We start from the raw sequence: 23,225 nt of genomic DNA on the forward strand, positions 1-23,225 counted from the left end.
GTGGCTGCAGGGTAGATATTGATGGGAAATACCACATACTGACCAGCACCTGAGTGTTGAAAAGGAATGGAAGTGGGGACATGAGATGAAGGAAGAGGAAAGATGGAAGAAATCAGAAGTAGCAGTTTGCAACTAAGAGCAGTTAAAATGTAAAGATGAGATTGATGCAATAGTTCAGTTCATTCAGAACTATTGAAACTATTGATTCAATAGTTCAGACAGGATGATTAAACACACCTACACACACACACACACACACACACACACCCCAACCTAAGTTCATGCTTGCTTCACCCTGAGTCCAAAGCTCTTATGCTAAGGTTGGATCAAATCCAAATTTATTTGTGTCTCTGTCTTACCCAGTTTACCCAATTCTCTCCATCTTTAAGTTTCTTTGGTGCCACCTTCTGGTTGGCCCAGTTCTATGAAGTCTGAATATTCCTTCCTGCCTCCCAGTCTCTGAAATGTCCTCGAGTGAAAGATGAGGTTGTGGAGGACCCCGGGACTTGCCTGCACATACTACTCTGCCTTCCAACATCTGCAGACCCTAGTATAAGCTCTGGAGAGGTCTTATGATGTGAGGATAGTGAGAAACAGGAATATTTTGTTCCATAATAAACAACCTCTTAAGTATAGAGTACTGTTGTGCAAATTATGTCATGATTGTGTTTTCTTGGTTCACATTTATTTTACTTAGTTTTCTGAACCCTAACCATAACCCTAACCCTACTTGTTTTTTTCTGAACTGCACTAACATTTATTTTAAACTTTAAAGAATTTGCACTGCTTTAGACTGTTGTTCTATATTTAGAGTGTTGCCTTTACACTTTAAAAAAATATATAAGCTCACTTTTTTGTTTAAGTAAGAGACACCCTTCTGTTGAAAAATATCTTAGGAGGAAGCGAAATATCTTAGGAGGAAGCAAAACATCCAACAGTGAAGATACTTTGGTTAATACAGTTGTTCCCCACTTCCTTGTCTCAGCCACTCAATTCCCCTTTCCTCCTGTGCTCTAAGAGACCCAGAAGACCTGTCCAAGACCCCCACTAAGGGCATACAGTTTCAGAGCTGCTGCAACAGGCACTTTGTAGGCCGCTGGGAAACTGGATGAGGCTCCATCTGTTTATAGAAATGAACACATGCACGATAATTTATATCTCTAGATAGAGTTTCCAGGACTTTTCATTTTGCTCATTTGCTAATTTTCCAAACTGGAGCATATTTTTCTTGTTTGACTACATTTTTCAGTTAAAATTATACATGTTTATGAAAAAAAGGATAATATAATAGAAAAAATATCTGTAGGATCATGAGATTATAGATAATGATTTGTCCTTTTATTTTCCCAAATGTTCTCAATTGTAAGAACAAAAAGGCTGAGGGAAATTGAGATGAGTTGGTGAACTGCAATATTTTATGAAATAGCCCACGTTTTTATAGGGTTTAATAGATATAAACAACAATGTAGGACTTATAATAATGCACTAAAATTATAATAATAGTAAACTGTAATAGCTTTTTAGCACTTTAAGCAAGGTGCCCCCCTAGATTAGGCTCCTACCTTCCACAGAACTGGTTGATAGGGATGCTATCTTTCTTGATGATTACATTTCAAAAGGATGGCTTCCAGGTCTTTGAGAGACTGTCCTGGGATGTAAAACTAGCAAGAAGCTTTTTTAAAAGATTTACATCTCAAAGGGGCTGATAAAGAATTTACAATGACAAGTTCTCTAAATAAAATGCTTTAAGAAAAAGGAAGAAAGGGCCTAGAGGCAGGAGGAAGCCTGTTTAGTTTGTTTATTTAGTCAAGTTTAGGTTGTCTAAAGTTAATTCAAGCTGAGGGGAATGTTAAGACCCTCTTAGCCAGGAGGATCCAAAAATCAATGCATCTAATTAAAAGTGCTCCCTCGATGACAAGATTAGGGCTTCATATTTTATATCCATGCCTATGGACTTTCTTTGCAACTCCGTAACCCAGTTTCAGCAACTCTTGGGGAAAATGGGGCATCTTTTTGGAGTCACTTTAAAAAGTAATTTTTTTTTTTTTTGTCTTTCCAGTAGCCTCATATTTCAGGCCAGCCTATCTCAAACAAACCCTCCAAATTTGGTGAAATGTATCTAGCTGTTTTCACAGGAAGTGATGACAGAAATACAGTTTTTATTGATAAAGAATTACATATATAAGTTTTAGAACATTCTTTATAGATTATATTGGAGACATTAAACTGAAAGATAATTAGCAGCAATAGGGGGATTTTGTGTAATGATTAAGAATTCAGGCTCTGGAATCAAACTGTGGGTGCCAGGCGTTTATGACTACCTGAGGGTTCTGGAATGAGTTACTAAACCTCACTCAGTCTTCTCATCTCTAAAGTGGGGCAATAACTATACTGACCTCAATGTGTTATTGGGTGATAATGGAAAGTGCTGAAAACAGTGCCTGGCACCAAGATCTTTTTTTTTTTTTCCTGAGATGGAGTCTCACTCTGTTGCCCAGGCTGGAGTGCAGTGGCGTGATCTCGGCTCTCTGCAGCCTCCACCTCCTGGGGCTCAAGTGATTCTCCTGCCTCAGCCTTCCAAGTAGCTGGGATTACAGGTGCCCGCCACCATGCCTGGATAATTTTTGAATTTTCAATAGAGATGGGGTTTCACCTTGTTGGCCAGGCTGGTCTCGAACTGCTGACCTCAAGTGATCTGCCTGCCTTGGCTTTCCAAAGTGCTGGGATTACAGGTGTGAGGCACCACACCCGTCCGCACAAAGACCTTTTGGCTGCTGCTATACCAAGGGAGGAAGTAAGCAGGTGTTGCAGGGTGTCTGTGCCCCTGTTGCTAAGAGGGATACAAGTCATAGGCCCTGAGATTGGCTATTTTATGAATAAACCAGTGTTTTTGTTTCCTATTGGTGTGATAACACTTTACCACAAATTTAGTGGCTGAAAAATGACACACATTTATTATCTTATGGTTCTGGAAGTCCTAAGTCCAAAATGGTACAGCATAGCAATGTTATTTTCTGGAGTCTCTAGAAGAAAATCTGTTCCTTGCCTTTTCTGGCTTCTCGAGGAGGTTGCATTCCTTCATCAGTGGCCCCTATCCCTCTGACCTCTGCTTCCGTCCTCATGTCTCTGTCTCTGACTCTGCCCCTCCTGCCTCTCTCTTTTAAGGACGCTCGTGATTCCATTAAGCCCACTGGGATAACTCAGGATAATCTCAGATCTCAAAATACTTAACTGAATACCATTTGCAAAGTCCTTATTGCCAGGGCAGATCATGTAGTCACAGGTTTTGGGAATTAGGAGTGGAAGTCTTTGGAGGGTGGTTCTTCCACCTACCACCTCAGCGTCCACTGACTGGGGGATGAATGACTGCGTGGCTACCGGAGTCATTGGCTTATGTGCTTTTCCCTGCTGTGCCTTTGATGCAGACCTTCTCTGATGGATGACCTCTGTGAAGCAAATGGCACTTTTGCCATCAGCTTATTTAAAATATTGGGGGAAGAGGACAACTCAAGAAACGTATTCTTCTCTCCCATGAGCATCTCCTCTGCCCTGGCCATGGTCTTCATGGGGGCAAAGGGAAGCACTGCAGCCCAGATGTCCCAGGTATGTGTGCTTGTCACAAAGGAAGGAGAACAGTGTGTTTCCCTTGTGCTTCCATACAGCTGTCTTTCTGTACTTTTGCTCTAGCTGAGGCCTGTGGAGCTGGAGGTAGAAGGAGGAGCAGCTCGGCAGTGGAGAAGAGCAGAAAGGGGTAGAAAGGTGAAATGTGTTGGACAGATCATCTCCTCTGATGTTTATGGGAGAAGTCAAGCCATAGAGTTATTTTCTCTAGATCAGATCATCAATACAGTCTGGCAAATTCACATCTTTGATAAGTAGGATAAAGTATAATTCTGTCCCACAAGAAAGCAAAATATTCCAATTTTGTTACATTTTAAACTTTTGCTAACATTATATTTTTAATAGACATGTGGGTGCGTAGATTAACTTTTTGTTAAGTGGGTTATTTTAGTGCATGATTATGCATCCTAGAAGAGGAATGTAACACAAGTGTGGACTTATATCTTCTGGAGTGATTTGAGGAATATATAATCTGTTTGATTCAAAATGGTGATGTATGACCTTATCTACAAACGAGGTGTGGGATAATGCTTTAGGAACAGTTCTCTGACTATTGGTGAAGATGTCCCAGATAATTGCCAAATGGATATCATTTTGCCACCAATATCAGGAGTGTATAGACAGTCTCCTAAAATGCACCCAGGGACCCCAGTTGACATCCTTCTGTGGTTGTTTCTTTCAACTGATTGGAGGAGTGAGGCTTTGGACTGGGGGTGATCGAGAGATATAGGAATAACCTTAATTCTCACTCTGACTTGACATTTAATTTATAATATGGTCTGGAGAACTTCTGTAAAATTGCAGATGAAACATTTTTAGTTTTATTGCTGCTTTTGTTTGTATTACCCGAGTTGTAATTCATCCCAGTTACTTACTTTTTTCTGTTCTGCCTTCCCCCTGAATTATCGCACACTGCCTTGCTGGCATGAATAAATTTGCTAGACTAGTGGTTCTCACCTGGTGGGTGGGAGGTAGGGGTCGGTGGGTGAATTTTTCCTTCCTGGGGACCCTTGCGAAGACCTGGAGTTTTAGATCCCATAACTGAGAGGTGCTACTGACATCTAGTGGATGGAAGCCAGAAGTGCTGCAAAAATCCTACAATGCTTATATGAGACAAGGAAGTGTCCTGGCCCCAAATGTCAATGCTGCATTGCCCACGTTGAGAAACCCTGTGCTAGACAATTAGGCCAAACCTTTTTAAAGTAGGATCCTGTGTGGTTTTTTTAGTACAGAGGTTTGTTTGGAGAAAGCTCTTTGGGAGAGTATAATGGCAGCGTTAAAAGTCAGTGTTGGTTTCTGTTCCCAGGCACTTTGTTTATACAAAGACGGAGATATTCACCGAGGTTTCCAGTCACTTCTCAGTGAAGTTAACAGAACTGGCACTCAGTACTTGCTTAGAACTGCCAACAGACTCTTTGGAGAAAAGACGTGTGATTTCCTTCCAGTAAGTAGTATTCACATATTGATGACAAAGAAATTGAAAGTAAGTTAGACTACAGAAGAGCAGATAATAAAGTATAACTGTACTGACTTAAAACGTGCTTGGAATTACACTTCTGAAATTACAATTTTAGATTTTATGATGACTTCTGAATTACGTCCTTTGTAAATTGTTACTGATACACCCATCCCTGTTATCAATCCCAATATGTCAATTCTCCTGCACGCAGCCCTGCTTCTCCCCCTTAATTCCCTGTCCCTGAGTGACCACATCATTCAACACGCTGTACAGAGCTCCTCCCCAGTCCCAAGTGTGGTTATTCGGCTGCCTCCTGCTGAGGTAGCCTCTCAAATTCTCTTAAATTTGCCCGCCCTCTTCTGAATTGCACCTACAACTGACACAATCGTCTTTCTAAAATGAAAATCTGTTCATAAAATTGAGGTTTTAAATCTAAGCAGTTTCTATTTACTTCAGCATATAATTCCAAGGTTCCCTAGTCCAGCCTGGCATAATGCAATCAGTGAGGTTCAAAAATCATGCCACCTGATATGCAGGGTGATGTTGTCTTAAAATTAGTGAACTGATTGCAGCAAGCTTGGCCATCCTATTGGCTGGAGGTTCTGAGAGGACTCCTCTAAGGCTCAAATACATCCCTGTCCTGGTAGCTGCTGGGTGCTGTTCCCGGAATTTGCCTGCTCTGGGTTTATCTACCTCAGAAGGTGACTCTGGATCCCAGGAATCTCCTGATGAATCCATTTCATTTTTGAACATCAGCCTGATCTACTACTGTTGTAATACTTGGGACACAGGGAGCCAACCTCTACTTTTCCTGGTGGCTTGGCTCCTCCTTCCCTCTATATCCTCTTTCTTTGGCTGAAATTAAAATATTTGAGAACAGGGAATGGACAGAGGCTGGGAGCCAGTTTCCAGGCCTATTATATCCAAAGCCAGGTTTTTGTGAGGTAAGTTATCTGGGTTTTAATGTGTTGGGTACAGGACTTTTCTGATTGGACCCCAACTTACATTTCAAGGCTCTTCCCCTGCCACTGTTTCCCTTAATCCCCTCCCTGATACACACAAACACACATACACATGTACACACACACACAAACATGCATGCAATCCACACACATGCAGGTGCCCAAGCACTCACATGTACACATGTGCACTCATGCACACAGATGTTCACACGCATGCACACGTATGAACCCAGTTGCACACACACCCTATGATCCAGGCCTATCACGCTCCATTCCCATGGGGCCTTCCTTGCTCTGTATTCTTCCAACCAACCATATGACCCAGATCTAAAATGCTATTTCCTTCTTTGCAGTTCAACACGATTTCTTAACAATCTAGTTCCCTTATAAAGCCTCTCGTTTAACCAAAACCACAATACTGTAGTTGGTGCTGGTGATGCAAAATGAGTAAAAGTGTGTTAGACTGCCTAGTGAGGGAAGCAATATTAAAGTCAGTGGAGAGCGTTTGACAAGGATGCTCCTGTGATGTTTTGTGGATAGTGGCAGCTCATGATGTCCTGTAAGTGTCTGGGTGTCTCAGCTGCCTCTTCTCAGGCTGTGGACCTCCTCAAGCCAAGCACCTTGCCCAGTACCAGGCAAGAATAGGTGGCCCATACATTTTTGTTAATTGCACGCATGCACCTTGAAGTGGAGTGTGACCTGTCCAAGCACTTATTGTAGAAATGCAGTAAGAGAAAACAAAATGCTTTTGCATTTGTGGGAACCTTTACCAAATGAGACTAAACTCAGTGTTTTGTGTTTGCAGGACTTTAAAGAATACTGTCAGAAGTTCTATCAGGCAGAGCTGGAGGAGTTGTCCTTTGCTGAAGACACTGAAGAGTGCAGGAAGCATATAAATGACTGGGTGGCAGAGAAGACTGAAGGTGAGACAGTTTCATTTCTGTTGATTTGGAATTACTATACAACGAGGCTTAGATTGACTGGGATGGGACTTCCCAGGGTGTTGCCACTGTGACCTGCATACCACAGGCCTGTTTGTATGTGTTTGCTGAGTTTACAGGCCAGCAATGCAACTCTGTCATTTCTTATCAGATCATGAAGTACTGATTTCTAAAACTAATGTTGAATCTCTGACCTCCTCCCCTGTGGACCGTGCTGGAAAATCCCTGGAAAATGGCTCCTCCTTGGAATTCTGTTAATCTTCTATCTGAGAGGCCCTTCCATGCTCGGAGACAGAATGGCATTCAATTAAGTTGCGGCTTAGAGAGGGCAACATTTCATGCTCTCATGTTATCTCCTCCGCGTGGTAATGGGACAGCTCAGTAGTTTGATCTGCAGCCTTCTCCTTCCTTTTTAACTTGGCCATGGCTACATTTGCTCTCAGAGTGTGGCCTTTTCTGAATTTGTTCCCTATTCTGGAGGTGCAGCGACATGGAGCCTGCAGTGTTCCCTGCCCAGACCACATTCCATCCCACCAGAAATATTTCTGCCAGTTCTTTACTTCAGTAGGAAAAAGGGGGAGTCATACTTTAAAGCATCCTAAATACCTAACAAGTAATTTCGATACTTGTAAACGGTGGAGGAATTAAGTCACTTATTTCAAGGGCCAACCTAGCACTCATTATTGCATCCATTCCATCCTATGTCGCAACCACTGTGTGTCCAGCAGAAGTAATGCCCCTGATTCTACTGAAAGCCAATACAATAATTACCATGGGAAGGGAAGAGCCTTTTGTGTTTTCATACATCATCTGCCTAGTGGTCTTTCCAGTTGTTCAACAGTACTGTCACCTGAGGAACCTAGAAGTTTCTCCACACCTTCCCCCCACTGCCCTATACCTGTCACTGCTCTTCCAGGGCTGCTTATGCCCTTCCTTCCCTTAGGCTGACCACCCACATTTCCCCCAGAATATTAGAGCTGAAGGGGACCTTGGAGATGACCTTGTTACCCTCTCATTGGACAACTCAATTTGGGCCCCTCTATTCTACCCCCCTAATTCCTTTGCCCCATTCACCCCCTTCAGAGAGGCTGCCTTCTCCCATTGACAGATCTGTGTTCTCTCATCCTTTGGAAAGCTTTCCTTGTCTGATGAGGTTTGAATATATGCATAGAGCAATGATCCTCAACCAGGGGTAGCTTTGCCCTCCAGGTGCCATTGGATAATGGCTGAAGACAATCTTGGTTGTCAAAATGGGAAGAAATGCTGCTGGCTAAACATCCTACAATGCACAAGACAGCCCCCATAACAAAGAATTATCTGGCTTAAAATGACAATAGCGGTGAGGCTTGGATATGATAGTGCCAAGGTTGACTGCCCCATAGTCAGAATCAAGACTCTGGGGTGATGTTCTCAACTCAGCCACTTGTCACCTGTGTGCACTCAGCAAAAGTCTGGCAAATGCTCTGGTCCTGAATTTCTACATCCATAAATTGAGGGCAAAATGATAGTTGCCCTTCCTACTTCAAGATTTTTTTCTTAAGCACAAATGTTACACTGTGTATGCCACACTGCTAAACACCATCGCCTAATTCATCAGGGGCCCAGAAAGACAGAACTCCAGCCTGTCTCTCAACCAAGCCTCTGCCTTATGTGTCAAAGGGATTTTTGTAAAAGAATGCTTATTTCCCCACAAATTGCAATAAACTCTCATATTCTTTATAGGTAAGATTTCAGAGGTACTGGATGCTGGGACAGTCGATCCCCTGACAAAGCTGGTCCTTGTGAATGCCATTTATTTCAAGGGAAAGTGGAATGAGCAATTTGACAGAAAGTACACAAGGGGAATGCTCTTTAAAACCAACGAGGTAGGGAAAGATTTTTCAGATATACTGCTACTTTCTTAAAGTAATATTACAGGAAATATTCTCTTGGAAAAATGAATAATTTATTTGACATGATCTTGATTTTAATCTATTTCTGAATTATATTATATTATTTTATTTTCTTTGAGACAGGGTCTCTTTTTGTCACCCAGGCTGGAGTGCAGTGGTGTAATCTCAGCTCACTGCAGCCTCGACCTCCCAGGCTCAAATGATTCCCCAACCTTAGCTTCCCAAGTAGCTGTGACTACAGGTGCACACCACCAGGCCTGGCTAATTTTTGTATTTTTTGTAGAGATAAGGTTTTGTCATATTGCCCAGGTTGGTCTCAAACTCCTGGCCTCAAGTGATACACCTGCCTTATCCTCCCAAAGTTCTGGAATTACAGGCAGGAGCCACTGTGCCTGGCTTCTTTTCTGAATGAATTTAATGCCTCCTGTGTATCTTTAATGGCGGAAGGAAGAGAGAAACAAAAATAATTTTGGTATTGATAGTTTTGTTTTTCCATCTTTGATCAAATCTACCTTCCATCTCTGGTCATATGATTTGGATTGGAGGAGAATTTCTTCTAAGCCTTGGAATTATGTTTGCATGATGCTATTACTCTCTGTATTTAGTTAGATACCTTTTTGCAATATCAGTGGCAACTATGCCTATTTATTGCCTTAAAAGTCAAAGTTATACAATCCTGAGCACAAGAAAAAAAAGTTAGCAGATGTAAAGCCTAACTTTACCTTCCCTTTTGAATATTAAAATGGCTGGTATCAATAGTTGTTAGCTTGGGATTTGACATCCATCAAATATGATACTCTCATATTGCACAAAGATATGAAAGTTAAAAATATATTTGATGCAGGCTTTAAAAACAGCAGACCTTACACATCTCTTCAAGGTCCCCTTCCTAAGAAAGCCAAGGCCATAAAACCAATTCTACAACAAGGCAACTTTCCAGAGTTTGGACCGTACATCTTTTCTAACCAGATCCTTCAGCCCAAGGGCCTGAATATTTATCTTAACTTCGATAAAGAATTTTTAGTTGGAAGCTTCCATGAGAAAGCTTCTCTGTGAATGTTCTCAAAAAAGCAAACACAGCTTCTTCCAAGGATAATGTCAATTTTTGTGTCCTTCTCCATTTACCAAACTGTTTTTTTTTTCTCACCTGGTAATATTTGATCTGCTGGAACAATAGCTTGTTCTATTCAATACTAAGATGTACTAATGAAGATTTTATATCTATCAGCATAAATGTGCAGAAACAGTAATTATACACACCTAGAGTTTCTGTGAGTTAGATATATCCTATTTTTAGTAAATTATACCCACTTTTCAGTAATCGAACTTTAATTTTTCCGTTAGGAAAAAAAGACAGTGCAGATGATGTTTAAGGAAGCTAAGTTTAAAATGGGGTATGCGGATGAGGTACACACCCAGGTCCTGGAGCTGCCCTATGTGGAAGAGGAGCTGAGCATGGTCATTCTGCTTCCCGATGACAACACGGACCTCGCCGTGGTAAGCTCCAGGCAATGAGCCTGAGTATCTGTGGAGTCCAGCTGAGCTCATTTCTTTATGTTCATCTACCAATTGGCATTTGAGGAGTTTCCAGTTGGGGTTATTACAGGCAGTGCTGGGTGAACATCATTGTGTGTCTTTTGATGAACATGTTCATGCATTTCTGTTGAGTGTATACATATATGAGTGGACAAGTTTTGATGAAGCTAAGAAGAGAGAGTTCTAAATATATTATTATTTGGAATATTATTCTTTATTCTGCATGGAAGGTCTATTTGAAAGCCCAATGATTATTGCACAAAAGTCCTGGAAGAAGGGTAGGGATCAATCTTGGCAGTGATTCTCAAACACTAATGCACATATATGATTCTAGTGATCTTGTTAAAGTGCAGATTTTGATTCAATGGAGTGTGGCCTGAGATGTTGCATTTGTAACAAGATTCCAAGTGATACAGATGCTTGGAACCACACTATGAATAGCAAAAGTCTAAAGTACAGGTGGGAAATTTACCTTATACAAGAGGAGAGAAAAGTCTTACTGTGACAGAAAAGGAACAGAGTCCAGGAAGGGAAGTGGTAAACTTGCAAGGTAGGAGGTGCAAGACTAATAGTGCACTTGTAAACCAGCTCTGGGAGGTGGGAGAAGCCTTCATTTATAAAGTTTGCTGATTCTCATGACATGGTAAATACTCCCACCATGGCCGACTTTAGTCTACTGAGGGTTTAACAATTGATAGGGGTCAGCTCTGGCACACCAATGCACAGGATGTTGAGGGTGGGCTGCTTGATTTTCCTGGCTTCCCTTTGGAATCAGAAAGCTACTGCCCTAAGTCAGGGATGACATCTGTTGTGGCCACTTATGAGAAAATTAGGAGAGTCTAGAAATAGAGTCAAAATCAAAACAATGCTCGTTGGAGAGGAGTACCCACCTGGGCTCCAGTTGTTAAAGGGAAGGGGAGATGCTAGTGGAAGGCCTTTCTCCCTTTTTTCTTTCTACCTTATTGATAAATAGAAAGAGTGATGGATCTTGAAGAATTTGAAGCTAACTCCAGGACAGGCAGAGGACAAACAAGGATGCTGATGAAGTCTTCTTGCATTCCCCATTTCTCGTCTCATGCTCCCTTCTCATGCCTCCCTTCATCTTCAGATGAAACACAATTCCCTCTCTTTTACTCTGAGTTGCCCTCTGATTTAACCCTGAATAGTCCCCTCATTAGACTCAGAAGCAGAGTTCTGAGCCATGCTCTTTGTCTTTTGTCAAACAATCTCTCCCACTCACAGTAGTATGTATTGCATGAAGATTAATGTAATGAATTGGTTAGAATTTTCTAAACTGTTAAAAAATGTTTTTAACATTTGAAAGGAGTTAGGTACAAATTGTTTTTATTAAAAATTTCTGCCTGTCTCAGGTGTTTACTAGCTCTTTTACACTTGTCTCCATAAAACTGTGAAAAGATGAAAATTTGGGAGAAAATCTTGGTGTGTTTATAAAAGAAAATATCTGTAGATTTTCTTGGACCAGAACTCACCATCTAATTGCATGTCATTGGGGGAGGGGTAATAAATGGGTGTGTGGGTATCAGGCTATTGTCATCTAAATTTTAAGGTTTGAGTCTTTCTTATCCTAGGTGGAAAAAGCACTTACATATGAGAAATTCAAAGCCTGGACAAATTCAGAAAAGTTGACAAAAAGTAAGGTTCAAGTTTTCCTTCCCAGATTAAAGCTGGAGGAGAGTTATGACTTGGAGCCTTTCCTTCGAAGATTAGGAATGATCGATGCTTTTGACGAAGCCAAGGCAGACTTTTCTGGAATGTCAACTGAGAAGAATGTGCCTCTGTCCAAGGTTGCCCACAAGTGCTTCGTGGAGGTCAATGAGGAAGGCACAGAGGCTGCCGCAGCCACTGCTGTGGTCAGGAATTCCCGGTGCAGCAGAATGGAGCCAAGATTCTGTGCAGACCACCCTTTTCTTTTCTTCATCAGGCACCACAAAACCAACTGCATCTTGTTCTGTGGCAGGTTCTCTTCTCCGTAAAGAGGAGCAATTGCTGTACATACCCTCCTTTCCTTCTACCTATCTTGCCTTAATTAACATTCCCTGTGACCTAGTTGGTGCAGTGGCTTGAATGCCAAAATAAAGCGTGTGCACTGGATAGTGTGTGAAAGTCTTTGCTGAAAGTTCCAGAGCCATTGAGAATAACTGAGGCCGCAGATGCATGAAATTTGGGCCTGGGAAGGCTATGCTGGTTTTGGAGTGTTTGGGGTGCCTGCCATTGCCTCTGCCTTCACCTAAGTCTGTGCCCATTGTTTCAGGGGATCTTATGGAGCATCTCAGGGCTTCAGGAGCCAGCCCTCTTCCATCCGCCCGGCTCTGCCCACCACCACTGCCAGGCTGAACAGGGGACTAGTGCCCAGGTGACACTGCACACAAAGCCAAGGGCAAACCCTATAGAGTAAAGCTGCAGCCACCCTGTGTCTCATGTGCAGCTGAAATAGTGATCTGCTTCTGTCACTGTCACATAGACAGCCCTGCATGCCCCCTGTCTCACACAGTTTGTAATGAAGACAGCTCCTTCTCATCTTTCCATAAGCCTGAGATACAAGTTCAGGGACTCAGCAATGCACTTTAGGACTGAGCTAGGAGGCAAATATCTGAAGCTTGCTATGCTGTTCTTTCCATTCCTTTTCCCTCTGAAACACACAAAATACCAAAGGAACTTACGCAACACACCACTGAGTCCTCTAACTAATCATATGTGCTCAGACACAGCTCAAGCACACCCCTTAGTTAAGAAAGAACCTCCATATACATTAATTTTTTTCTGCCTAAAAATAAAATTGCGTTGTGGCAGCAATTTGGAAACTACAGCAAAGTCTCCAAAAAAATTGAAGTCACCCACAATTCCAACACACAGCAATCACTGCTGTTAATAGTGATATACATCCTTCCCTATTATGTGTATGCAAATAGAAATTTATAAGCATTTTACTACAAGTTAATCATATCCTTCAGTAGCTTATTTCTTCCCTTATGAAAAACCTCCCTTAAGATCTTTCCAGGTCATCAATTTGATGTGCATAGTATTCCACTGTGTGGCTGGATTTCTATAATTGAATCTAATTTTAGACAGTTTGAGTAATTAAAATTATTTCTATTAACAAATAATAGATTGCTAATAATATATATTATGCTGTTTTGGATATACTAAATATTTGCTCACATCCTTAATATATTTTTTAAAATTCCTAACAATAGTACTGTTGAGATAAAAGTTGAGCACATTTTGAGACTTCTTCCAAATTGGTCCCTAGAAAGTTACACTGGTTTGTACTCTCACTTATGTCACTGTTTATACCACCACTGACTGCTGCCTGCTTTATTATTTCTTTAATGAGTTGGACTGAACAGTGGTTAATCCTGACTCTGTTTTTGACTGACAGTTAACAGTTACATGAACCATTCATATTACAGCTCTTACTTAAATTTGACCAAGCCAGGATATATCTGTTAGGCCACATTCATTTAGGGATCATGTTTTCCAAAGCAGGTTTGGGCAAAATTAATCCACAGGACTGAAAGGTATACATCTGTGAGTTTTGTTCTCACTTCCACCTCTAATTTGAAGAACACTTTAATTGACACAGAATACATTTCACATATTTAACCTCTACAATAAGTTCTGACACATTTTCCATGAAACAAACCATCGCTATATTCAAGATAATGAACCTATCTATCATACTCCCAAATTCCTTCTTGCATCTTTGTAATTTCTCACTCTTCCTTCTCCCTCTCCCCGTCCCATCCCAACCACTGATCTGCTCAGGCAACTACCAATCTTCTTTCTGTCACTATAGATTAATTTGCATTTTTAAAGAAATTTACATACATGGAACCATACATCATCTATGCTTTGTAGTATGACTCCTGTCACTCAGTACAATTATTTTGAGATTCATTTATGTTATTGTATGTATCAATAGTTCATCCCTTTTATTGGTAAGTAACATTTTTTTGTATAGGTATACCATGATTTGTTGATGAACAAATTTACCTGTTGATGAACATTTACGTTGTTACCAAGATTTTTGCTATTGAAAATAAAGTTTTTATGAATATTTATATATATACATCTTTGTATGGACATATGTCTTCATTTCTTTTGTATATAGATACATAGAAGTAGAATGGCTGGGTCATATGGAAGGTGTAAGTTTAACTTTTTAAGGATCTGCCAAATTGCCTTTGAAAGTGGTTGTATCATTTAACATTCCCAGTAAAGCCTAGGAGAGTTCTGGTTTTTCTCTCTTCTCACCAATACTTGGTACTACCAGTGTTGTTACTTTCAGCGTGTACCGGCTTTTGGTTGCATTTCCCTAATGCCTAATTATGTTCAGCATTTAAAAAAATGTGCTTAGGCCGGGCGCGGTGGCTCACGCCTGTAATCCCAGCACTTTGGGAGGCCGAGGCGGGCGGATCACGAGGTAAGGAGATCGAGACCATCCCGGCTAAAACGGTGAAACCCCGTCTCTACTAAAAATACAAAAAATTAGCTGGGCGTAGTGGTGGGCGCCTGTAGTCCCAGCTACTCGGGAGGCTGAGGCAGGAGAATGGCGTGAACCCGGGAGGCGGAGCTTGCAGTGAGCCGAGATCCCGCCACTGCACTCCAGCCTGGGCGACAGAGCGAGACTCTGTCTCAAAAAAAAAAAAAAAAAAAAAAAAAAACCAAAATGTGCTTATTTGCTATCCATATATGTTCTTTGATGAAATGTCTTTTTAAATGTCTCATCGATATTTTATTGCTTCTTGCTTTATTTTGTTTTCGTGTTTTTTTTTTTTTTTTTCTTTTTGAGACAGAGTATTTCTCTGTTGCCAGGCTGCAGGGCAGGGGCACGATCTCGGCTCACTGCAACCTCCGCCTCCTGGGTTCAAGCAATTCTCGTGCCTCAGACCCCTGAGTAGCTGGGACTACAGGCGTGTGCCACCACAGCCGGCTAATTTTTGTATTTTTAGTAGATACAGGGTTTCCCCATGTTGGCCAGGCTGGTTTTGAACTCCTGACCTCAGGTCATCTGCCCTCCTTGGCCTCCCAAAATTCTGGGATTACAGGTATGAGCCACCGCACCTGGCCTTTTGTTTTCTTATTGTATTTTGAGAAATCTCGTGATATGGCTACCAAATCTTTTATCATATATGTGATCTGAAAACATTTTTCTCCCAGCTCATGGCTTCAATTTTCATTTCTTTTTTTTTTCAATCTTTATTTTGCACACTTTATTTTTTTACTATACTTTAAGTTTTAGGGTACATGTGCACAATGTGCAGGTTTGTTACATATGTATACATGTGCCATGTTGGTGTGCTGCACCCATTAACTCGTCATTTAACTTTAGGTGTATCTCCTAATGCTATCCCTCATCCCTCCCCCCCACCCCACAACAGGCCCCGGGTGTGATGTTCCCCTTCCTGTGTCCATGTGTTCTCATTGTTCAATTCCCACCATTTCTATAACAGTGCCTTTAAAAAGCAGTTCTTAATTTTGATGAAGTCCATTTTATCATTTTGTTTCTTTGTTTATGCTTAATGCTTTTGTTGTCATATTGAAGGAATGCTTTGCCTAATCCAAAGTCACAAGGATCTCCTATGTTTCTTCCAGAAGTGTTACCGGATTTAATTTTCCTTTTTGGCCTATGATCAATTTTGAGTTCATGTTTTGCATATGATGAAAATGCTATCCATTTTCCACTGAATTGCCTTTGCATCTTTGTCAAAAATCAGTTGATCATGGATATGTGGTTCTATTTCTGGATTCTATTGGATTCCATTGATCTGCTTGTCTATCTTGATGTCAATTCCACATTGTCTGAATTACTGTAGCTTAATAATAAGTTTTGAAAACACTTAAGTGACATAAGTTTTCCAACTTTATTTTTCAAAGTTGTTTTATCTGCTTTCAGTCCTCTATCTTTCCCTGTGAATTTTATAATTTGCTTGTTGACTTGTACAAAGCCTGCTGCAATTTTGATTAGGACTGTGTGAATTCTAAATATCAATTTGGAGAGAATAGACATACTAGCAATATTGAGTCTTCCAACCCGTGAACAAGGCATGTTTCTCATTCTTTTAGGTTTTTATTGATTAATCTCAGCATAGTTTTGTAGTTTTCAGTATACAAGTCTGGCACAAATTTTGTCAGATTTATCCTTAAGTATATTCTATTTTGTGCTATTATAAGTGGTGTTGCTTTTTAATTTCAATTTCTGATTAATTGTTGCTAGTATATGGAAATATAATACAGGTTTTTTTTTGTATCTCAGCCTTATATCTTGCAAACTTGCTAAAATCACTTAGTTCTAGTAGCTGTGTTTCTAGTTCCATGTCTGCTAATAAAGACAAAATTTCCTCTTTCTTTCACATTTAGATAGCTTTTTTTTTTTCTTTGCCTTATTGCACTGACTTGATTAGAAGTAGTGAAAACAGACATCCTTGTCTGGTTCCTGATCTTAGGGGAAAGCACGAAGGCTCCCATCATTAAACGTGATATTAGCTGTAGGCTTTTCATAGGTGCCCTTTAACAGGTGAAGAAGGTCTCTTTTATTCGTAGTTTGTTGTGTTTATATCAGGAATAGATGTTGGATTCTGTCAAATGCTTTTTTGTTTCTTTTAGATGATCATATGGTTTTGTTAATATTGGGATTAATTTTTGAATGTTGAAACAATCTTGCGTTACTGGGAGAAACTCCACTTGGTCATGATGTATTTCCTATTTTGTCTAGTATTGGATGCAATTTGTTAAAATATTTTTAGAATTGCTCATCTCCATTCATGAGAGACATTAGTCTGTACTATTCCTATTTTGTAATATCTTTGTCTCACTTTGGTTTTAGGTAATTCTGGTCTCAAAGAATGAGTTGAGAAACATACCTACCTTTGCAATTTTCTGGAACAGATGTTGTATAATTGGTATTATTTCTTCCTTTAATGTTTGGTGAAACCATCCGAGACTGGAGTGGCTTTATATTGCAACTCTATTTTCATTAATAGATAGTGAACTATTCAAATTACATATTTCTTCTTGAGTTAGCTTTGGTAGCTTGTGTCTTTCAAGGAATTTGTTCATTTTCTAGTCATCAAATTTACTGTTGTAAAGTTGTTTATAATAGTCTCTTATTTTTCTTTTAATAGCTGTAAAATCTGTAGTAATACCATCGCTCTCATTTCTGAGATTAGTAGCTTGTGCCTTTTTCTCTTTTCTGATCAGTATGACTAGGTGTTGATAAATTTTATTGCTGTTTCTCAGAACCAGCTTTTGGTTTCATTGATTTTCACTATTGTTTTTCTGTCCACAACATTGATTTCTGCTCTGATCTTTATTATTTCCTTTTTCTGATTACTTCACATTTAATTTTTTCACTTTTTGATGTAACCGACCACGATCCCTGATGCACTGAACAAAGTAGGATGAACGCGGGAATAAAAGACAAAGACAAAAGAGTATATTTGGAAGAAGGGGTCGGGGGCACCTTGCCTCTAGTAGGCAAGGGCCCTAAACTTTTTCAGTCCTCCGTATTTATTAGGTAAAAGAGATAGCAAAAAAAGTGGGGGTGATTGTCGGGTAATTGTCAGTCGGCCGTTTGGTTCACAGCAGGCTTGTGACACTGCATCCTTTGAACAATAGGCGCTAGATTTTCCAGTAGATAACTTCAAGGAGCCTGGTGCCAGGGAGTGATGACCCTCAGCAAACCTCTTGGCGGCAGGTGCAGTGTGAGTTTACCCACATCCTGCATTCATGATAAACAGTTTGCTGTTTGATCATATAGCCTCCAGTGGAATGCTGAGTTGGTCATGATCCCTTTGCTGGCTCTCTACATTTTGGGTATTTTTTTAGTTTTTTTAAGGTGAAACAGGTAATTGACTTGAAACTTTTCTTGGTTTTTAATATAGGTGTTTACCACCATAAAAAATTTCCCTAAGTATTGATTTAGTGGCATCAATAAATTTTGATATCCTTTGCATTTTTATTCAGTTCAAAATACATTCTGATTTTCCTTTTGATTTCTTTTTTGACTCATGAATTATTTGAAAGTGTAATTTTTAGTTTCCAGTTTTGATGATTTCCAAAGATTTTATGTTATTGACTTCTAATTGAATCTCACCATAGTCAGATAACATGTTTTTAATGACTTGTATTCTTTTAAGATATTGAGATTTATTTTATGCCCCTAAATATGGTCTATCTCAGGAAATGCTCCATGATCACTTGAAAAGAATGTATATTCTGCTGTTTTGGGGTGTAGTGCTCTGTAAATGTGAATTCCATGAAGTTGGTGATAGTGTTGTTCAGGTCTTCTATATAATTACCAATGTTGTGTCTGCCTGTTCTAGCAATTGTTGAGAGATGAGTGTTGACATGTCCAACTATAATTGTTGACAGGTCCAGCTCTAGGTCAAAATCCCATATGTGATCCCATAGGCCTGACCATAGGCAACTACAAGGCAGGCTGCATGGGGGAGGTGGGGGGAAGCTGCCCTGCTCACAGATTTGGTGCACAGCCAGGGCATTGAAGTGTCCAGTGGGAGCTGCAGTCAAGGACTCAGGCCCTTGAGCCAGGCCATGCCTTTATGCATCTCTACATTCCGAGCTCAGACAGCTTCACTCAGAGCCCTCCTTATGAGGGGAGCAGAGGCCTTCGCTGAGACACTGTTCAGGAGCCTCTGAAGAGACTTTCTTATCAGGAGCCTTGAAGACACTCTCTTGCACTCAAGCTCAGCACTCAGTACTTTTCCACTTCTAGTCCATCCTTCCCCCATCCCATCCCTCCTGTCCCTCCCCTTGGCTCCTGGGTCCACAAAATGGCAGGAACCTTGCGTTTGGGACTTCTAGGCAATGAGACAATTCTCCCACCTCTGCTGCTTGTCATCTGACCCTTCCTGGTGCTGTTCCATGGGGAAAATAATGGCACCATGTCCTGGGTAGCCTCTTCTTATCACAGTAAGCAAATAAAAGCTTGACTGTTACTTTCAGTGGGGCTAGTTGTCCTAATTCAACACCTTAACACCTGAAAGTACTCACATACATGCCCCCTCTCTCTTTCTCTCTCTCTCTCTCTCTCAATTTGACAAAGGAGCTGAGTGGTCAATTAAGCACAATGCCTTTTTGGAAAAACAAAAAGCCTAAAAGTCCTTCAGGGCACAGTAGAGGTGCTGGTGGTTCATCTGCAAGAGTCTGAGGGTACCGCAGAACACTTGCCAGCCATGCCACGGGGTGTCTGGGAGGTGCCAGTGGACCCCGCAGGGCACCCTTAGAGTGTGCTAATGTGTTGTTTACAGAAGCTTTTCGGTTCCGAGGGGGATCATTGGTCCTCAGCTGGGTACTACTTGGGCTCCGACAGATCTGGCAGGTTTGGTACACTGTAACAAGACCCATGCCATTGAAAAACACTTCTGGATGCCCTTCGCAGAGGCTATAGTAGCCCCGCAAGTCACCCTGGGGGTCCTCTGGGTCTACAATGAGGGGCTGGGGGAAGCAGAGGATAAGACTGTTCACCAGACTCAGATTTCAAGAATTTTTATGCCACTACTGCTGGTTATCAAGCCCAGGTAAACCTCATAAGGCCAGCTCAGTCCGTCCCAGACACAATCCAGCTATTTTAACAAATGCCTAAGGCATGGAAAGAGTGGCTGCTTCCAAGAAAACAGATTGCAGAAGCAGGGAGGCAAAGATGACTATCCGGCGCCCTCTACTGGACGATCTAGGCAATGACATTCCCAAATTGCTCTCTGAGCCTGATGATTCAATAAAGGGGCTCTCAAAGGAGGAGACTGAAGAGTTCCTCACCAAGATACCAGACCATGGGGGGCCCAGCAGGCAGCTCACGAGGGTTTGCATGGTGATAGCCCCTATGACTGATTCAAGCATTATGCTTGTTGTCATCCCTCCCAGTGACTCTGGAGATGACTTGAAGAGCCTCACGATCCTCTCCCCAGACAGCTAGACTTTTACAAATTAACAAGACTAGGGGTTAGGCTGAGGTCCCTCTGTCCCCAGGGATGACTAGAAGCCCTAGCCAATGTCAGAGTTCAGTGAGGAGGTGGGAGGAAATGTCCTTCTTGGCCATGCTGAACATCTGTGCACTGCTACCTCTGATCCCCACAATCCCTGGCACCAGGATGAGGGGGAAACAGATAATGTTCTCTGGTTTAGGGTCTGAGACCACCACCACCTGCTCTGTCTCTGGGAAGGGACCTTTGGGCCCCTAGAGGCCTTTACGTTATGGCTCCCATGACTGCATGTGTTCTTGGTATAGATGTATTGTCTATATGTGCCCCTACTGGCCTTCACCCTCAATCCCTGATGGAAATTGCTGCACTTAGGGTCATCTTAGTGGGACATGGGAAAGGCTGTGAGTGTACCCAATTACTGTCGCCTAGGCCATTGTATCCCCACCTGCTTTAGAGAGGAAAAAAATAACTGCTGTCATTATGTCACTAAAACATCAGGAATTCCATCTAGGTCCTTCTGTTCACTGCACAGAAAGCCAATCAGTGAGACAATGAGTATTGCAAAGACGAATGAAAACTTTAATTGGGTGCTACAGCTGAGGAGATGGGAGATAAGTCTCAAATCCATCTCCCTGACCAGCTAAAATTAGGAATTTATATAGCAGGGAAGAAATGTAACCATGTGTGGGGAAACAGGAATTAGGGAGAAGTAAGGAAGAGGAATTGGTCAACAGGAAGCAGGTGGTTGCGTAGGCCATCATGATGGGTGAGGGGTCGGGTTTCTCATTGTCCAGATGTGTAGACCTGGTGGGTTTTAGCTGCTTGATAATATCTGCAAGCACTGATGGTTGGCTTCCTGAGAAAGGAACTCAGATAACTGTAATTTTCTTGAGTTTTAAGACTATGAGGGTTAATTTATATGCTTTTTCAAAATAAACCATAAATATTAGTTTTATGGGACAATTGGGCTGGTTTCAATTGCTAAGCTTGAGGCAAAGTTCCTGAGAAACTGTTCCTCCATACAGTAGCTCTGTCTGGCCTGCGCACATGGCCTCAGGTACCTGGTGATCCTCTGTCTATTACAGGTGGCTCAAGCCTGTGGTGCCATTCTTTGCATTGGCAGTATCTGACATTTTGATTCTTACAGAGGCTACTGGAGGGAACTTGGTATGGGACAGTTGATATCATCAATGCCTTTTTCAGCATCCTCCCACACGGAGAAGTCCAGGATCAACTTGCCTTTATGTGGAATGGGTTGCAATCCACCTTTAATGTCCTTTCACAAAGTGACCTAAATTCCCCACATAGCTGCCATCAATGAATAGGTTATGCTCTGGGGAGAGTTGCTTGCCTGGAGGAAGCACTAGCCTTGCACTCTATTGATGACATCCTCCTTGTGAACCCAAACAAAGACATTGCCAAATAAGGACTAGGTGCTTGAGGACTGATGACTTTCACGCAGCAACCCAACTACACCATTAACAGACAGAGACCCCAAGTGAATTTCCTGGTTGTAATCTGGGCAAGTGGCACAACATCTCGTTTAGAGGAGATGACTGCCAAGCTTTTGGCTGTCTCTGCCCCAGCAAATAAAAAGGATGCCCAGTGATTTGTGGGCTTATTCATCTACTGTTACTGTCACATTTCCCTTGTGGGGATTTTGATGGGACCCAACTAAGAGGTTACTAGAAAAGGCTGCTATGTTTCAATGGGGCCCATTCAACAGGCTACCACAGCCATCCAAGTACCCTCCCTTCCCCTGGACCCCATGGATCCACATTTGCCATTCGACTTACAGGTCTCAACAACATTTCAGTTCCTTTACTATCGCTCATAGTAGAAAAATAACATCAGACACTTGTTGGGTTTTTCAACTTATAAGATCCTGGAGTCAGCTGAAAGGGAGTCAGCCAAAAGGCACATACACTTTGAGAAACAATTATTGTCCTGTTATTGGGCCTAGGTAGATATGCATGAGTACGTGACTCACGGCTGTGACATAGTTTTATGATCCCAAATTCCAATCATGTTATGAGTGAGCAGAGGCCTCAAATATCCAGGTGGGTGTGGCTTAAGAGTATTCTCTAGTGAATGAAAATGTTCTACACAGAAGCAGGTAAAACCCAGCCCAGCTGGGGCCTTCAACTCAATGGCAAGGACTCAGGAGTGTTGTCCCCCTCCCAGGCATGTCGTCCAATGAGCCACTGCCTTCACTTGGCCAATGGGAACTCAGATACAAGGACCTTCTGGGCCACACATAAGCCTGGTTCACTGACGGTGTCTCTTGATTAACATTTACTATGCTGGAATGAGGTGCAGCTGTCATACAACCTGAGATAGATCTATCCCTTGGCAAGTTCAGCATAAATGTGCAAAGCTTTATAAAGTATGGTTGGCTACCCAGGCTCCCTCAACAAAGGAGCCCTGCTATATTTTCACTGACTCATGGGCTGTAGTTAATGGTCTGAACATTTGATTGAGCTACTGGCAAAATTGTGCTGACATGTAAAACACATCCCTCTCTTGGGATGAGACATTCGGATAAAATTCAATTCTACTCCTAATAAGCTCTTTGTTATCCTTGTGGGTGCTCACCAGAGAGCTCCCTATGCTGACAAAGGCAATGAGCCAATCAAGGCAATGAGCAGACCGTGCATGTCAGCTAAACATGGAGAATGATTTGTCATCTGCCCCAGAGATAACAGATATTCAACTCATTGCCTCTGATCCATGAGAGGAAGGGCCCTGGGAATCAAGATGCCATCCTAGCCTGGATCTGTATGCATGAACTATTATCTTCAAAAGATGCCAACACAGCATGAAAAAGATAATCCACCCGCCAGACCCTGAGC

The 23,225-nt window shown here is 41.6% G+C and overlaps 1 protein-coding gene across 10 annotated transcripts in view; it reads left to right on the plus strand.

Moving 5' to 3' along the window:
• The window catches only part of SERPINB8 (serpin family B member 8), a 49,699-nt gene that overhangs the window by 4,793 nt on the left and 21,681 nt on the right, over positions 1-23,225 (plus strand). For 3 of the 10 annotated variants that reach the window (NM_001366198.1, NM_198833.2, NM_002640.4), the window contains exons 2-7: positions 3,426-3,603; positions 4,928-5,065; positions 6,848-6,965; positions 8,706-8,848; positions 10,220-10,372; positions 12,001-14,501. In NM_001366198.1, coding sequence (NP_001353127.1) covers positions 3,436-3,603; positions 4,928-5,065; positions 6,848-6,965; positions 8,706-8,848; positions 10,220-10,372; positions 12,001-12,405 — 1,125 coding nt within the window. In that variant the 5' untranslated portion in view covers positions 3,426-3,435 and the 3' untranslated portion in view covers positions 12,406-14,501. Of the gene's footprint in view, positions 1-3,425; positions 3,604-4,927; positions 5,066-6,847; positions 6,966-8,705; positions 8,849-10,219; positions 10,373-11,384; positions 11,778-12,000; positions 14,502-23,225 lie in introns of those variants that run through there. The other 7 variants (NM_001348369.2, NM_001348368.2, NM_001031848.2 and 4 more) reach the window with 6 other exon arrangements.

The sequence above is a fragment of the Homo sapiens genome, chromosome 18 (assembly GCF_000001405.40).
Source record: "Homo sapiens chromosome 18, GRCh38.p14 Primary Assembly".
Taxonomy (NCBI): domain Eukaryota; kingdom Metazoa; phylum Chordata; class Mammalia; order Primates; family Hominidae; genus Homo; species Homo sapiens.